Source organism: Homo sapiens, chromosome 6 (assembly GCF_000001405.40).
Source record: "Homo sapiens chromosome 6, GRCh38.p14 Primary Assembly".
Lineage (NCBI taxonomy): Eukaryota > Metazoa > Chordata > Mammalia > Primates > Hominidae > Homo > Homo sapiens.
This window is the reverse complement of record NC_000006.12, coordinates 18,297,574-18,315,540: the sequence shown is the minus strand read 5'-3', so window position 1 is coordinate 18,315,540 and position 17,967 is coordinate 18,297,574. Positions and strand designations below refer to the sequence as shown.

General features: G+C 41.9%; 1 pseudogene, besides 1 other annotated feature; it reads left to right on the top strand.

Annotated features, from left to right (window-relative positions):
* Window positions 1,903-2,076: a silencer, noted in NCBI's record as "fragment chr6:18313696-18313869 (GRCh37/hg19 assembly coordinates)". NCBI's record gives its function as "represses an EF-1alpha promoter that drives an FKBP-Casp9 reporter gene in an ReSE screen in HepG2 liver carcinoma cells {active_cell/tissue: HepG2}" and the evidence as "EXISTENCE:reporter gene assay evidence [ECO:0000049][PMID:32094911]".
* On the top strand, window positions 8,463-8,566 carry RNU6-263P (RNA, U6 small nuclear 263, pseudogene; annotated as a pseudogene).

Genomic DNA, 17,967 nt, shown 5'->3' with positions numbered 1-17,967 from the left:
GATAAGGTCTTAAAGGAAGTGGGCAGGACACTGACAGCATCTGCTACATCCTTCCAAGCCTAAAGTATCTTCTCATATCCAGTAGTTAAGTAAATACCACCATGCTGCCTGCCCACCCCACACCTCACAACAAAACAGACAAACAATGGTCAAAGTCTAGCAGTGATGGGCTTTAAAGTATTTATAGCCAAGGAAGAGAATTCTAATTTAAACACTCCTTCCCAAACAAAAATTTTACAATATAAAATAATTTAATATTATTAAATGAAAAGGACAGAAATAGAGATTTTATATTCCAGCTGGGAGCAGTGGCTCACGCCTATAATCCCAGCACTTTGGTAGGCTGAGGTGGGTGGAACACGTGAGATCAGGAGTTCAAAATCAGCCTGGCCAAAATGGTGAAACCTTGTGTCTACTAAAAATACAAAAATTAGCCAGGTGTGGTGGCCCATGCCTATAATCCCAGCTACTCAAGAGGCTGAGGCATGAGAATCGCTTGAACCCAGGAGGCAGAGGTTGCAGTGAGCCGAGATGCCGCCACTGCACTCCAACCTGGAGACTCTGTCTCAAAAAAAAAAAAACAGAAAAGAATATGGAAATATCTCATATTTTATATTCTGTTAGACTTTGGGTTGCAAGTCATTTGAGAAAAAGCCATGAAATTGGCCATGAGAAAAAGCCATGAAATTGGCCCTATTAAAATATAACAAGGATTTCTCAGCCTAATCCAAACAGTGTTGATGAATCATTTCTGATTGAGCTTGAGGTGCATATAAACAACTAGAAACAATTCAGCTGTGTATTTCAATGCTTCAATGAAGGGAAGACTTTGCCCATTGCTCCCTAGTTAATCCAAATTTTTGTTTTCTTTTTAAAGAGAAAAATCAAGGTTTTTCTTTTCTTTTTGTGTGTTTGGTTGGTTGGTTAGTAATTTACAGACTATGCAACTGTGCTGTTCCCCAATATATGCATAAGGCAGGAGAGAGTGGGATTTGTTTGCTTGCTTGTTTGTTTTGGAAACATACTGATGTTACTTACTGAGCCTCCAAAGCACTCCCTATCTGTGGCTGCCCCCAAGTTCAGGCAGATGAGCATTCTGAGAGCTGCTCAGAGGAATACAGTTTTTTCTAGATATCAGATGGCAAGCCTACAATCTGTTGAAGAATTTCTCACCTAATTTTCACCTCTGTATATTACTCACCAATTTTACATTGATTCTCCCCTCCAAAAACATGATAAGCATTCCCATGGTCACGTCCTGGGTGGATCTTAAAGAGTATTGGAAATAGCACATGCAGCTGTTAGCTTCTCCAAACACACAATCCAAAGCATTTAAATGCCCAGTCTGCAATGCTGGCAGTGAAAGACAAGAATAACAGTTACTTTTTATACCAAAGATAAATACCGGATGATGCCTGAAAAAGGCAGGGTCAGCCTAACTCATAGGCAGAAAAGAATACCACCAATGTCAACGGCAGGAAAAGCTCCCTGGGAAGGATGCACAGGCTTGACTAATTAAAGGTCTTTTAAAGGAAAGAGCAACATGGTTTTGTTAAATTTTGAAAATACTGCTCTTTAAAATTATGAACACGCCGGGCGCGGTGGCTCACACCTGCAATCCCAGCATTTTGGGAGGCCAAGGCAGGGGGATCACTGGAGGTCAGGAGTTTGAGACCAGCTTGGCCAACATGGTGAAACCCCATTTCTACTAAAAATATAAAAAATTAGCCAGGCGTGGTGGCAGGCCTTGTAATCCCAGCTACTTGGGAGGCTGAGGCAGGAGAATTGCTTGAACCCGGGAGGCAGAGGTTTCAGTGAGCCCAGATCACACCACTGCAGTCACTCCAGCATGGGCAATAAGAGCGAAACTCCATCTCAAAAAGAAAAGTAAAGCCCTGCGCAGTGGCTCACGCCTGTAATCCCAGCACTTGGGGAGGCCAAGGCGGGCAGATCATGAGGTCAGGAGTTCGAGACTAGCCTGGCCAACATGGTGAAACCCTGTCTCTACTAAAAATACAAAAATTAGCCAGGCATGGTGGCACATGCCTGTAATCCTAGCTACGTGGGAGGCTGAGGCAGAAGAATTGCTTGAACCCAGGAGGCAGAGATTGCAGTGAGTTGAGATTGCGCCACTGCACTCCAGCCTGGGTGACAGAGTGAGACTCTGTCTGAAAAGAAAAAGGAAAAGAAAAGGAAAAGGAAAAGGAAAGAAAAAGAAAAAATAAAATAAAATGATGAACAGGATTTAAAACTCTTCAATAAATACAGTGAATAATAAAACACACATTAGTTTCAAATTTGAGCTGTATGGAAGGGGGATGAGTGTGATAAAGGGGGGAAAAGCAATGATACATATGTGTTAACTGAAGCAAAAGCTACAAAAGATCAAGTATATCGTCTGGGTGCAGTGGTTCACGCCTGTAATCCCAGCACTTTGGGAGGCCGAGACAGGTGGATCATGAGGTCAGGAGTTCAAGACCAGCCTGACCAATATGGTGAAACCCCATCTTTACTAAAAATGCAAAAATTAGCCGTGCATGGTGGTGCATGTCTGTAATCCCAGCTACTCAGGAGGCTGAGGCAGGAGAATCGCTTGAACCCAGGAGGCAGAGGTTGCAGTGAGTTGACGTCCCGCCACTACATTCCAGCCTGGGCAACAGAGCGAGACTCCGCCTCAAAAAAAAAAAAAGTACAATAATTATAGACTGTGGTTGTGGCTGTTTAAGAAACAAAGGGCTTAGACAATGGGAAGAGAGTACTACATGTAGCATGGTCAGAGAAAGCTTGTCTAAAGAAATAGTTAAGCTAAACTCCCCAAGAATCACAGTGAATCCTATAAAGAACCACAGAGAAACAGCCCTACTGCAGGTATACCTTGGTGACTTCAAGCTGCTCAGTGTTGCTGGAATTCAGGAAGAGGTGGAATGGAAACAGAGGGTTGGAGGTGGTTGGAGAGATAGGCAAGTGCCAAATCCCTTGGGGACCTGAAAGCCAATGATAAGGAATTTGCATAATCTCAATACAAGGAAAGCCATGAAAAGATTTTAAGCAGGGGAGAGAAGTCATGGGATTTACACTTTAACTTGATCACTCTCACTGCCCAGTGGATTCAAGAGAGAGAAAAGGTTAGAAGGTAGTCTTTGTCTTCACTGTCATTGTCATTCACTCCCTCCTCCTGCCACTTTCACCCCTGCATTGCTGACCACCAAAATCCCTGCAGCATTATATGCTACCCACAGGACAACATTGCACCTCCGCAAACGCCTAATAATCCCTGTTCATTCAGCTCCCAAATTCCTGCAACCTTTTACCCCAAAGCCATGAACCCATCCCAACCTTCTTACTAGGCATCCTGCCACACAGACCTCTTGTTCTATAGCTCGCATCAGCCTCTTCTGGGAGGATAACCCCAGTTCCTCCACTATGACCATCTCTTTTATCCCTCTACTGACCTCCTAGTTCAAACTCATGCCACCTTCTGTGTTCTTGGAACTAGATGTCATAGTGTTTTCTTTGCAAACAATTTGAATTCATGACACTATAAAATGCCTCATGTTGAAAGGAAATTTAGAGATATTCTGGTTTAACCTGGAGGTTTTTATGACAAAGAAACAGGCCTGGTATGGTTAGAAGATTTTTCTGAGGTCTCTGAGGTTAGGGAGTAGCAAAGCAGTACTAAACTCTGGGCCTCTGACTTCCTAGTTGCTGTTCCTTGCATGATTTTAAAGCAATTTTTAAAAACACTGCGGAGTGAGGGTGCTTCATGTTTTCTTTCTTTTCTTTTTTTTTTTTTTTTTTTTGAGACAGAGTCTCACTCTGTCCCCCAGGCTGGAGTGCAGTGGCACGATCTCGGCTCCCTGCAAGCTCCGCCTCTCGGGTTCACGCCATTCTCCTGCCTCAGCCTCCCGAATGGCTGGGACTACAGGTACCCGCCACCACACCCGGCTAATTTTTTGTATTTTTAGCAGAGACGAGGTTTCACTGTGTTAGCCAGGATGGTCTTGATCTCCTGACCTTGTGATCCATCCACCTCGGCCTCCCAAAGTGCTGGGATTACAGGTGTGAGCCACCGTGCCCGGCCGGCTTCATGTTTTATAAAACACTTCAACACATGCCATCTCGTAGAATCATGGCAGCCCCCAAGTAATAGATATAAATTGAAGCTGAGAAAGATAAAGTGCTGAGAGAGCTGCTAAGCCAGGACTTAGACTCAGGTCTTGTGGCTCCAAGTCCTGCAGAAACTACAAAAACTTTCCTATTGTCAGAAGAAGTTAGTCCTGGGCATCAAAATTAGAGGTTTCCTATTTCCACTCATTATTATTGGTTAATGATGCCTTTGTGTATATTAGTTTTACATTCCTCTGAAGATCAGATTTTTTTACAGCCCTATCAAGCTCTATTTGCCCATGTAATTATTGCTATTTTTCCTTTTTATTTTTTTAACTGACACATAATTGTACAGATTTGTGGGGTGTACAGTGATTTTTGATTATAAATTCAATTGATTGATTGAATTTATATAAATTGATTGATTATAAATTATCAATTTATAATTTTATAATGATCAATTCAGGGTAATTAGTATATTCACCTCAAACATTTATCATTTTTTTGTGTTGGAAATATTCAAAATCCTCTCTTCTAGCTGTTTTATTTTTATTTTATTTATTTATTTATTTTACTTTTTTTGAGATGGAGTCTCACTCTGTCACCCAGGCTGGAATGCAGTAGTGCGATCTTGGCTCACTGCAATCCCTGTCTCCTGGGTTCAAGTAATTCTCATGCCTTAGCCTCCGAAGTAGCTGGGATTACAAGCACCCACCACCACACCCAGCTAATTTTTTGTATTTTTAGTAGAGACAGGGTTTTACCATGTTGACCAGGCTGGCCTCGAACTCCTGACCTCAGGTGATCCACTTGCCTCAGCCACCCAAAGTGTTGAGATTACAGGTGTGAGCCACTGCACACAGCCCCTTCTAGCCATTTTAAAATATACAATAAGTTAATTTAACTGTAGTCATCCTACAGTGCTGATAGAACACTAGAACTCATTCCTCCTATCAGTTGTTTTGTTTTTATTTTTACTTACTCGTTGGGAACAGGCCCCCAATCTGGCCATAAACTGGCCCCAAAACTGGCCATAAACAAAATCTCTGCAGCACTGTGACATGCTCGTAATAGCCATGATGCCCACGCTGGAAGGTTGTCGGTTTACCGGAATGAGGGCAAAGAACACCTGGCCCACCCAGGGCGGAAAACTGGAAAACCGCTTAAAGGCATTCTTAAACCACAAACAATAGCATGAGGGATCTGTGCCTTAAGGACATGTTCCTGCTGCAGATAGCTAGCCAGACCCATCCCTTTATTTCGGCCCATCCCTTTGTTTCCCGTAAGGAATACTTTTGGTTAATCTACAATCTATAGAAATAATGCTTATCACTGGCTTACTGTCAATAAATATGTGGGTAAATCCCTGTTCAAGGATCTCAGCTCTGAAGGCAGTAAGACCCCTGATTTCCCACAACATACTCTATATTTCTGTGTGTGTGTGTGTCTTTAATTCCTCTAGCGCCACTGGGTTAGGATCTCCACGACTGAACTGGTCTCAGCATTTACTTATTTATTTATTTTTTAATAGAGACAGGGTTTTGCCATCTTGCCCAAGCTGATCTCAAACTCCTGGGCTTCAGTGATCCTCCTGCCTCAGCCCCCCAGAGTGCTGGGATTACAGGCATGTGCCACCACATCTGGCCTGATGATTTTATAACTGTTAACCAACCGCTCTCCCTCTTCCCCACTCCCCTTCCCAGCCTCTATTAATGACTATTCTACCCTCTACTTCTATGAGATCAACTTTTTAACCTTCCATATATAAGTAAAAACATGCAGTGTTTGTCTTTCTGTGCCTGGCTTATTTCACTCATAATGTCCTCCAGGCTTATCCATGTTGCCATGAATTATAGGATTTTGTTCTTTTTTATGGCTGAATAGTATTCCATTGTGTGTATATACACCACATTTTATTTATCCATTCATCTGGTGATGGACACTTAGGTTGATTCCATATCTTGGCTACTGTGAATAGTGCTGCCATAAACATGGGGATACAGGTATTTCGAGATCAGATTTTTTAATGTGGTTAAGGAAGAACTTTGTCCAATACTGGAAGTTGATCGGAATGAGGGTAAGGGTTTCTGAGCAGGAGAGAAACTTAAAGAACAAATATAATGAAGAAAAGAGATGCCCCAGGGGCAGTGGTTCACACCTGTAATTCCAGAACTTTGGGAGACTAAGTTGGAAGGATTGCATAAGTCCAGGAATTCAAGACCAGTCTGGACAACATAGTGAGACACCATCTCTACAAAAACAAATTACCCAAGCGTGGTGGCATGCAACTGTAGTCTCAACTACTTGGGAGGCTGAGGCAGAAGGATTGCTTGAGCCCAAGGGGTCAAGGCTGCAGTGAGCCGTGATCGCAACACCACTGCATTGCAGCCCAGGTGACAGAGCAAGACTATATCAGAAAGAAAGAGAAAGAAAAGAGGTGCGGGGAGGGGAGGGGAGGGAAGAAGGAAGGAAGGAAGGAAGGAAAGAAGGAAGGAAGGGAAGAGAGAGAGAGGAAGGAAGGAAGGAAAGAAGGAGGGAGGGAGGGAAGGAAGGAAAAAAGAGAGAAGGAGAGAGAGAGGAAGGAAGGAAAGAAGCAGGGAGGGAGGGAGGGAAGAAAGAGAAGGAGAGAGGAAGGAAGGAAGGAGGGAGGGAAGGAAGGAAGGGAGGGAGGAAGGGAGGAAGGAAGGAAGGAAGAAAGGAAGAAAGAAAGAGAGAAAGATGCAAACTTTACCAAGTTTGTGATTTGGGCCGATCCAACACCATTATGGCATCTACCATCATGAGGAAATGCGCTCTAAAACTGGTTTTCTTATTTTAAGTGCAAGTTACCACAGCACAATTTCACCACAGCAAAAGAATGTAGATGGTCTCATGGATTCATTATTAAAATATTTGAAGTATATACAAATTGGATTCTTTGAATTATTTTTTCCAGCTCATTTGAGGTTTAGAATTTCAAATCCAATGTCAAAAATATTCTCAGTGACAAAAAAAAAAAAAAAAAATGTCCTTCTCAGTTGCTTTGCAGGATGTGGAAGAGATTACTGCTTCAGAGGAAATATATTTTGGAATGCATTGCATCCTGATGCTACAATTAGTTCTATTCTTGTTCTGAAAATGGAAAGGGGTCAGGGGCTCTGCATAACTGACACTTAGCAGCAGCGGCAGATGCAAGCTGGCAGCCAGCATTCAGCCAGGAGAAGTGGCTTGCTTTTCCCATCTGAGCCCAACATAGACAAGTTAACAGAACACTTACACAAGAATTATTGTTTCCTTGTTCTTTTATTTGCTTTTATTTTGATGAGCTCAAACACTTTTCCCCAAACATCAGACCTATTATTAGCAACATTCCCTTAGGGTGCGCTAGGTACAGTTACTTAAACATGTTGTAAAACCTCCCAGGCCAGGTGTGGTGGGTCACGCCTGTAATCCCAACACTTTGGGAGGCTAAAGGGGGCAGATCATGAGGTCAGGAGATCGAGACCATCCTGGCCAACATGGTGAAACCCCGTCTCTACTAAAATACAAAAAATTAGCCAGGCATGGTGGTGCACGCCTATAGTCCCAGCTACTCAGGAGGCTGAGGCAGAGGAATCACTTGAACCTGGGAGGCAGAGGTTGCAGTGAGCCGAGATCACACCACTGCACTCCAGTCTGGTGACAGAGCGAGACTCTATCTCAAAAAAAAACAAAACAAACAAACAAACAAAACTCCCAAATGTGAATGAAAAATACCTGCACTTACCTCAGATGTAGAGTACTATAAGAATATAGTTGATTCCCTTTGTGAGTAGTTGCTGAGCTAAGAGAAATCTTATGGGTCTATTAACTAAAAGCCCAGAATAATATAATTATTAGGATTTTCTTAATATTATTCACTGAACCTGAATAATAGTCTGAAAAATGAATATAACAAATCAAGCAAACAACATTACTAGCTTTCAGAAGGCTAAAAATAAATGTCTAAAGTAGCAAGTGTTCTGCTGAAAATAATCATGCAAAATGCACATATCTCGCATACCATCAAATCGGACCATTTTTCAGGGCATCCTCCATTATTGCATTCCACCCCATTCACACTCCTTGGCAATTAAGACACCCAAGTTGTGACATGCAGATTCTGGTTTAGCTCAGTTGAGTGCTGTCTGAGTGTGGTGGCATAGATGAGTCAGCCAAATACCTCACCCCACATTCCTCTCATACCTATCCAGAGACCCCAAGATCATGGTTAGCAAATACACAGAAAGCTTCCAGCACATTACCTTGGCCTTGGGGGTTTGTGCATTCTTCAAAGTCAACTGAAATCTGGAGATTCTGAATCATCTTCTCCAACACTGCACTATACTACACTAGCATGCTTGCTTCAGCAGCACACATACTAAAATTGGAACAATACAGAGGAGATTAGCATGGCCCCTGCGCAAGGATGACACGCAAATTTGTGAAGGATTCCATATTTCCAAAGATTGAGCATTCTCAGGCATAAGTAGGAGCTGAGCTAGGAAAATGCAAAGGCATAAGAATGATACAATGGACTCTGGGGACTCAGGGGAAAGGGTGGGGGTGGAGTGAGGGATAAAAGACTACAAATTGGGTTCACTGTATACTGCTCAGGTGATGGGTGCACCAATATCTCACAAATCATAACTAAAGAACTTACTCATGTAACCAAATACCACCTGTTCTCCAAAAACCTACGGAAATAAATAATTTGAATATATTAGCCAATATTTAAGAGCAGGGAGGATTACTAGTCTAAGTTGATAAGATTATATCTCTAAGATAACCATTTCCAGCTTTTTAAGGCACTGAATAGTGCTTTTGTACATAGGATTTTTAATAAGAATTCCTATGACTGAGTAATGTTTGTATTCATGTTAGGTTTTTATTTCTTTGGGTAAGACCATTAAAACTGCCTTTGCATTTAAGATTCTGACTGAGTGTGGTAGCTCACACCTGTTATCTCAGAGCTTTGGGAGGCCAGGGTGGGAGGCTCGCTTGAGGCCAGGAGTTTGATAGCAGCCTGGGCAGCATAGCAAAACCTCATCTCTACAAAAAATGCAAAAAAAAAAAAAAAATTGGCCAGGTGTGGTGGCATGCACCTGCAGTCCCAACTACCTGGAAGGCTGAGGCAGGAGGATCCCTTGAGCCCAGGAGTTCAAGGCTACAGTGAGCTATGATGGCACCACTACACTCCAGCCTGGGTGACAGAGCAAGAATCTGCCTCTTAAAAAAAGGGGTTGGGGGCGGGGTGGATGAAGATTCAGATGAAGCAGAAAATGAAAATAATGTTTTAGGAATGCAAAATAGGCCAGTGGCTCACGCCTGTAATCCCAGCACTTTGGGAGGCCGAGGTGAGTGGATCACCTGAGGTCAGGAGTTCAAGAACAGCCTAGCCAATATGGTGAAACCCTGTGCCTACTAAAATTGTAAAGAATTAGCTGGGCATGGTGGCAGGCACCTGTAATCCCAGCTAAGGCAGAAGAATCGGTTGAACCCTGGAGGCAGAGGTTGCAGTGAGCTGAGATTGCACCATTGCACTCCAGCCTGGGTAACAAGAGCGAGACTCCATCCATCTCAAAAGAAAAAAACAAGAATAAAAAAAGGAATGCAAAATAAGTAACACCAGTCAAAACGTCACACCTCTGCTTTCTTAAAAATTAAATTTTATAGGCCGGGCACAGTGGCTCATGCCTGTAATCCCAGCACTTTGGGAGACCGAGGCGGGTGGATCACGAGGTCAGGATATCGAGACCATCCTGGCTAACACAGTGAAACCCCGTCTCTACTAAAAATACAAAAAATTAGCCGGGCGTGGTGGCACACGGCTGTAGTCCCAGCTACTCGGGAGGCTGAGGCAGGAGCATCACTTTAACCTAGGAGGCGGAGCTTGCAGTGAGCCGAGATCGCGCCACTGCACTCCAGCCTGGGTGACAGAGCGAGACTCCATCTCAAAAAAAAAAAAAAATTGAATTTTATATAAAGAGCATTTTATTTGCCATTGATTTAAAACAAGGCTCAGTATAATTGAATAGGTTTATATTTTCAGGCAGTTTCTGATTCTGTGAAAAGTATACTTTACAACCAAGATTAATGACAATCATTATGAGCAACTTTCCTCATCATGTAATATCTCTGATAAAGAGTATGATGCTACAACACTAACTCTAGTAGTGAACTGCAGTGTAAAAAATTAATAAGTAAAAAATGAACAATCCAGAAGAGTGTTTACAAAAAGTCAAACAACTGGACTGGCTTTCATAGATCATCTAGTCCCTTTACCAATTTGTTAACAATGAAATTAAAATAATTAAGATGGGCACCTTTCGGCCAGGGGCTATGGCTTTGTGGCTCTGTGGCCAGCTTACTTTTGGTTCTAAGAAGACAGAAGTCAAAAAGCCAGAGCAAGAAACCAGTGATACCACTTTTACCATTAGGACATGTGACAATTGATCCTAATGGTTTTGTCACTTGAGCCTTCTAGCCAAAATTGACTTGCAAACAAAACATTCCGAAATATTTGATAGCTGAACCTTTAAATGCAGCCATTTTTGCACTTCCATCAAAAAAAGAGGCTAGCCAGGCACAGTGGCTTACGCCTGTAATCCCAGTACTTTGGGAGGCAGGGGCCGGTGGATTGCTTGAATCCAGGAGTTTGAGACCAGCCTGGGCAACATGGCAAAAACTCATCTCTACAAAAAATACAAAAAATTAGCTGGGTGTGGTAGCATGCACCTGTAGTCCCAGCTACTCTGGAGGCTAAGGTGGAAGGATTACTTGAGCTTGGAAGGTCAAGCCTTCAGTGAGCCATGATGGTGCCACTGTACTCCAGCCTGGGTGACAGAGTGAGACTCTGTCTCAAAAGAAAAAAAAGAGAGAGAGGCTAATGTTGAGCCTGTCAATATTTTTCCAAAGTCTTAGAACTCAGGAAGAGTAAGGTAAGTTTAGATAAAGTTGAAAAATCTCATCCACATCTCTACAAGAAATGTTGGTGAGACTAAAAAAGCAAGTTAAACAAAACAGGCACAGTTCCACGACATCCTTGGGAAACATTTTCTGAATACTAAAAAGAAATAATTCATTCTTAAATACAAGAAAAATACATTTAAATATCAGAAAAACCTGGAAAGTAATTTTTTTTTTTTTGAGATGGAGTCTCACTCTGTCATCCAGGCTGCAGTGCAGTGACGTGATCTCGGCTCACTGCAACCTCCGCCTCCGGGTTCAAGCAATTCTCCTGCCTCAGCCTCCTGAGTAGCTGGGACTACAGGCACATGTCATCATGCCTGGGGAATTTTTGTATTTTTAGTAGAAACAGGGTTTCACCGTGTTAGCCAGGATGGTCTTGATCTCCTGATCTCACGACCGCCCGCCTCGGCCTCCCAAAATGCTGGGATTACAGGTGTAAGCCACCGTGCCCAGTAAAAGTACATTTTAAAAATCATGGCTAGTACTCACTGAAGAAATAGGACCATGAAAGTACGAAATATCATGTTTCAGGGCAGTTCAAGTTTCAGATGAATCCGAGTATTCATTACTCTTTAAATTGTTATACCAAGATACCTTTAGGCCTAGTTCTTATATTTTAAAATTGTGTTTAAGATCCCTAACCTAAAATAGCTAGCAGCATGTTACTTTGATTTCCTGGAATTACAGATTAACAGAGCTAGAAAGATATTCAAGATGATTTGTTTCAACACCTATTTATAGATAAGAGAGTGTCCTGAGACCCAGATAGATTGAAGGTCATGCAGTGGCAAGATGAAAACCAGGACCCAGATTCCTCGACTCTTAGTTTAATTTACTGAATCCTGGTTGTAATTTTAATTTTGAGATTGATTTTGACAGTAATTCCATGCATAGTTTACTACCACAGGAGATTTAAAAAAAAAAAACTGAAGTGGAGAATAAAGATAATAGCACAGAAACATTCCCTCCTCAAAAAAAAAAATACCCTCAATAACCAAAAAATTTTCATTATCACTTTTTTTGCCCTAAATTGCCAGATGTGTTGCCTAAATTCATTTCCCTCTAATGCCACAGCCTAAATTAGAAGCATTGGCTTCCTTTTAAGAAAACACTCTTTACAGGTTTGTAATCTGAGGTTACAAATAACCCCAAAATCCCAGTGACTTAAAACAAAAAGGGCTTTCTCATTCATGCCAAATGTCCGTCCTGGCTCAACAGGGATGCTGCTGCAAGTAAACACTCAGAGACAGATCCCCAGAAAGCTTCATGGATTAAGAACCCCTCCTCAGTATACATTAATTACCTTGATTTAGCCATCCCACAATATATACATATATCAAAATGTCATGTTGTACACCATAACTACATATAATTTTTATTTGTCAATTTAAAAAATAAAAAAAAAAATTAGAGGTGACATACAATTCTGCTTGCAAATCATTGGTCAAACTGATCACAACATCCCATCCAACCACATGGGGTCACTAAATGCAATACTAGAAAGCAGTGGCTGGGTGTAGGGGCTCACGCCTGTAACCACAGCTCTTTGGGAGGCCGAGGCAGGAAGATTGCTTGAGGCCAGGACTTTGAGATTAGCCCAGGCAACACAGCAAGACCCCTGTCTCTACAAAAATTTAAAAATTAGCCAGGCATGGCTTGAGCCCGAGTTCAAGGCTGCAGTGAGCTATGATTGCTCCACCGCACTCCAGCCTGGGCAACAGAGTGAGACCTCGACCCTCAAAAAACAAGAAGACAGAAAGCCAGAACATATTCGGAGAACAGCGTAGCTACCATACCCTCTATTTCTGAAACATAAAAAACTGAATATTGACCCCCTCTGATTGAATACACAACACTTTATGAAGTACTTAATTTTTAAATCATAAGCCAAAAGAAGTTAAAGAGAATGTCACTAAGAATCAAGAACCTCCTGCAATACCCTTTGTTCCACCACCAGCTAAGTGATGACCTTGGCAGGTCACATCAGTTTCCTCATTTGTAAAATATGGAATGGGTGAGACTAGATGATTTTTGAGGTCCTATCTGGCCTTATAAGACCTACAATCCTAATTTACATGAATTTATGAGAGCGTTCAGGACTCTTTACCGCGTTAGCAATACTAAAGTCAAAATATTTTCTCTTAAAAATGCAACAACTAGACTGGGGGCAGTGGCTCACCTGTAATCCCAGCACTTTGAGAGGCCAAGGTGGGCGGATCACCTGAGGTCAGGAGTTCGAGACCAGCCTGGCCAATATGGTGAAACCCTGTCTCTACTAAATATACAAAAAATTAGCTGGGTGTGGTGGCAGGTGCCTGTAATCCCAGCTACTCAGGAGGCTGAGGCAGGAGAATCTCTTGAACCCGGCAGGCAGAGGTTGCAGTGAGCTGAGAACTCGCCATTGCACTCCAGCCTGGACAACAGAGCGAGACTCCATTTCAAAAAAAAAAAAAGGCCAGGCGTGATGGCTCACGCCTGTAATCACAACACTTTGGGAGGCCAAGGCAGGTGGATCACAAAGTCAGGAGTTCAAGACCAGCCTGGCCAACATAGTGAAACCCCACCTCTACTAAAAATACAAAAATTAGCCAGGCATGGTGGCACGTGCCTGTAGCCCCAGCTACTCAGGAGGCTGAGGCAGGAGAATCACTTGAACCTGGGAGGTGGAGGTTGCGGTGAGCCATGATTGCACCACTGCACTCCAGCCTGGGCAACAGAGCAAGACTCCGTCTCCAAAAAAAAAGTCTTAATTCAAAAAACCATACAAAAATAATTATTTCTTGGTTGGCATTTGTTTTGTTTTGTTGCTTTTTTTATTGTGCTTTCTTAATAGTCACAGAAGCAGAAAATCTCACTTTGTTCAAGGAATTATAGTATGTTGTTTGGCTTGCACCAAAGAATCTTACACCAACATCTAGGAGCAGCTTTTCTCACCAAAGCAAAAGTTTTCTGTTCATTCTAGACCTGACTGTGCTTTACTATGTTTTGATACACAATCTTTTTGTTATTTATTTCTCTATACTTGTATTTGTCCCTTTTCTTATAGGGTTGAGGGAATTCTAAATTCTACAAAGCAATAATGTAGCATTATACTTTTTCCTTATAGGAATCGGCCCATACTCTTAATGTGAACTAAAGTCATCCTGTCCAACCAGTTGATGAGATATGGGCACTCTTATTTATTCCTGATCATTAGGCTGATCTTGAAAGAAAAAGAAACACTTGGTTTTATATAATATGGAAAGATAATAGTATAAGCTCCTGTCTGATAAAGGAAAATATGAAATTAGATACATGACTCCCTAATCCGTTCTAACAAAAGGTAGATTGTGAAGCTAGTCACTTAAAGCCAAGACACTCTATTTAGATCCTATGTTAGTAAACATCTTGATCTGGGCCGGGCATGGTGGGTCATTCCTGTAATTCTAGCAGTTTGGGAGGCTGATGTAGGAGGATCACTTAAGGCCACAAGTTTTAGACCAGCTGACCAATATAGCAAGACCCAATCTCTACAAAAAATAAAAAAATAGCTAGGCATGGGTGGTGCGTACCTGTAGTGACAGCTACTCAGGAGGCTGAGGCGAGATCACTTAACCCCAGGAGTTCAAAGCTGCAATGAGCTATGAGTGAACCACTGCACTTCAACCTGGGTGGTCCTGTCTCAATCAGTGTAGTTAAGGAAGCTGAATGTGGGGCCCAATGTGAAAAAGAGCCTGGTTAGCTACTAATAAACTAAAGTGAATGGTCCGAACTAAGATTAAAGTTAACTCTTTTCTTTTCCACGAATGCTAAGATTCTCTGTGGGGTTTCTTCCTAATATTCAATGTGAGGAAAGGACAGACATTCTTGCTTTTCAATTGTCTACAGAAGCCTACTTTACCCTTCTGAAAAAGCAAACTTATATTTGCAGAAACCCCAAGTCTGGTTAACCATATTTCCAAAATCTGACTTGAAAAGTCATTAAATGTGTCCAGGGTGGGAGATGATGCCAGGTCATAAATTGAACATGCCATTCACTACTTCAGATATACATTAATGTAAAATAAACTTCGTCGATCTAGAAAAATTATTTCCTGGCCAGGTGCGGTGGCTCACGCCTGTAATCCCAGCACTTTGGGAGGCTGAGGTGGGTGGATCACCTGAGGTTGGCAGTTCGAGACCAGCCTGACAAACATGGAGAAACCCTGTCTCTACTAAAAATACAAAATTAGCCAGGCATGGTGGTGCATGACTGTAGTCCCAGCTACTCAGGAGGCTGAGGCAGGAGAGTCACTTGAACTCGGGAGGCAGAGGTTGCAGTGAGCCAAGATCGCACCATTGCACTCCAGCTTGGGCAACAAGAGCGAAACTCTGTCAAAAAATATATCTATATATATTTTTTTCCAGCCAGAGCTAAGTCTTTGCCCCATAGACACTGAAAAACTTCAGAATGGTTTCCAGCATTGGGCCCAGTGGGTCTGTCGGCTGTCTCCCTGCTGCACCTGTTTACAACTAACTTGAATTATTATAATTAAAGAGCTTATCATGATTCCTAAACCCAAAACTGTAGAGCATTGTTCATTCATCACATTATAGAGATAAAGAGATTTGTTTTGAAAATAGAGGTCTACCTAAACCCCAAGTCCTTAAGTCAGAAACAAAATTACAGCTTGATGGTGGTGAAATAGGAGCTCAGAAAGAACTGGAGAAATTGAATCATTAAGGCCTAAATTTTCTAACTGCCTATGTTAACGAAGGCAATCTTAAATTAGAAGCATTTTTCTTCCAAGTAAAGTCTCTCCTCTACACAATTAAGGGGTTAGACTAGAGAAATAATTCCTAACCAGAACACTTTGTCAGATTACCTAGGAAACTCTTCCAAACACACATACCCACCCGCACTCCAGACCTGCTAATTCAGAAGGTGTCATGTGTATTTTGAAAATGTTGGCCAGGCGCGGTGGCTCACGCCTGTAATCCCAGCACTTTGGGAGGCCAAGGTGGGTGGATCACGAGGTCAGGAGATTGAGACCATCCTGGCTAACACAGTGAAACCCCGTCTCTACTAAAAATACAAAAAAAATTCCCCAGGCATGGTGGCGGGCGCCTGTAATCCCAGCTACTTGGGAGGCTGAGGCAGAAGAATGGCTTGAACCCGGGAGGTGGAGGTTGCAGCGAGCCAAGATCACACCACTGCACTCCAGCCTGGACGACAGAGCAAGACTCTGTCTCAAAAAAGAAAAGAAAAGAAAACAAAATGTTCCACAAAAAGATTCTGATACACATCTTTAGTTTGTAAATTCTAAATCTCTGAAGTTCCCTCCAGCTCTAAGTGTCTATATTAATAAATGGAGCCAATGAGAAAAGAGCACTATAGAGTTAAATCAATAAGGCTCTGTAAGCAATAATAATGTATTGATTACATAGTGGCACTGTAGTGAAAGAAGAACCACAGTGGTTGCCATCTTCTGGTACAACTGTTGAGAAGGCTTTAATGTTGGATCTGCATGGTATTTCACAGATTTCATGTTTAGAAACGGGGATGGGCTTTGGCAGAGAGTTTTCACTGACACCTCTACAAGGCCTCTTTGGAAACTTAATGTTTCTGTTGTGTCTTTGACTCTTAACCACACCCTAAGAATGAAGATCACCCAGCTCACTTAATGTCTGTTGCCTAAAACTGAACACCCCTGTCTACCAACAGTCCTAAGTCTGCTCAAAGTTCCACAATTTCCTTCTTTTTTTTTTTTTTTTTGTGACAGAGTCTCACTCTGTCACCCAGGCTGGAGTACAGTGGTGTGATCTCGGCTCACTGCAACCTCCGCCTCCCAGGTTCAAGCTATTCTCCCGCCTCAGCCTCCCAAGTAGTTGGGATTACAGGCACCCACCACCACACCCGGCTAATTTTTGTATTTTTAGTAGAGACAGGGTTTTGTCATGTTGGCCAGGCTGGTGTCAAACTCCTGACCTCAGGTGATCCGCCCACCTCAGCCTCCCAAAGTGCTGGGATTACAAGTGTGAGCCACAACACCCGGCCAATTTCCATCCTTCAATCAGTGATTTTACAAATTCTGACTCTGGCATGCATCAAGTACAAAATCATATTTATTAATTTAGTTTACTCCTCTCTTTGCAGTTTCTATTTTTACTTATGTTTCAAAAAGTTTTAGTTATGTGCATCTTGAGTAATTTTGATAAATGTATATTTTATCTTTCTGAACTGTAATATCTTGATATTAAACAACTTAATTATCCAGTAAGTTCATTGCTTTGTACTTACTAAACACTTGAGTTGAATAATAGTAATTTAACAGTTCAACCAAATTAAAACTATAATGATTAGATAATTTGCTCATGGTTATTCAGCAAGCCAGAAATTACACAATAATAAGCCAAGAATAAAATATAAAACCTAGATCTAAATTTAATAATAAGTACACAGTATCTATCTTTTGAATGCATGATTTCAGTAGGACAGAAAAAAGAAATCTTAAATAAATGGTAAGATATACACACATTCATAGATGAGAGAATTCAATATTTTATTTATTTATTTATTTATTTGCTTGTTTACTTTTTGAGATAGGGTCTTGCTCTGTCACCCAGGCTGGAGTGCAGTGGCACAATCATGGCTCACTGCAGCTTCAACCTCCCAGGCCTGAGTGATCCTCCCACCTCAGCCTCCTGAGTAGCTGGGATCACAGGCATGCTCCACCATGACTAGCTAATTTTTTAATTTTTAATTTTTTAATTAGCCAGGAGTCTTGAACTCCAGGGTTCAAGTGATCCTCCCACATTGACCTCCCAAAATGCTGGGATTACAGGACTAAACCTGGCCTCACTATTTTAAATACGTAAATTCTCTCCAAATAACTGTATAGATTCAGTGTAATTCCAATAAAAATTCAAATA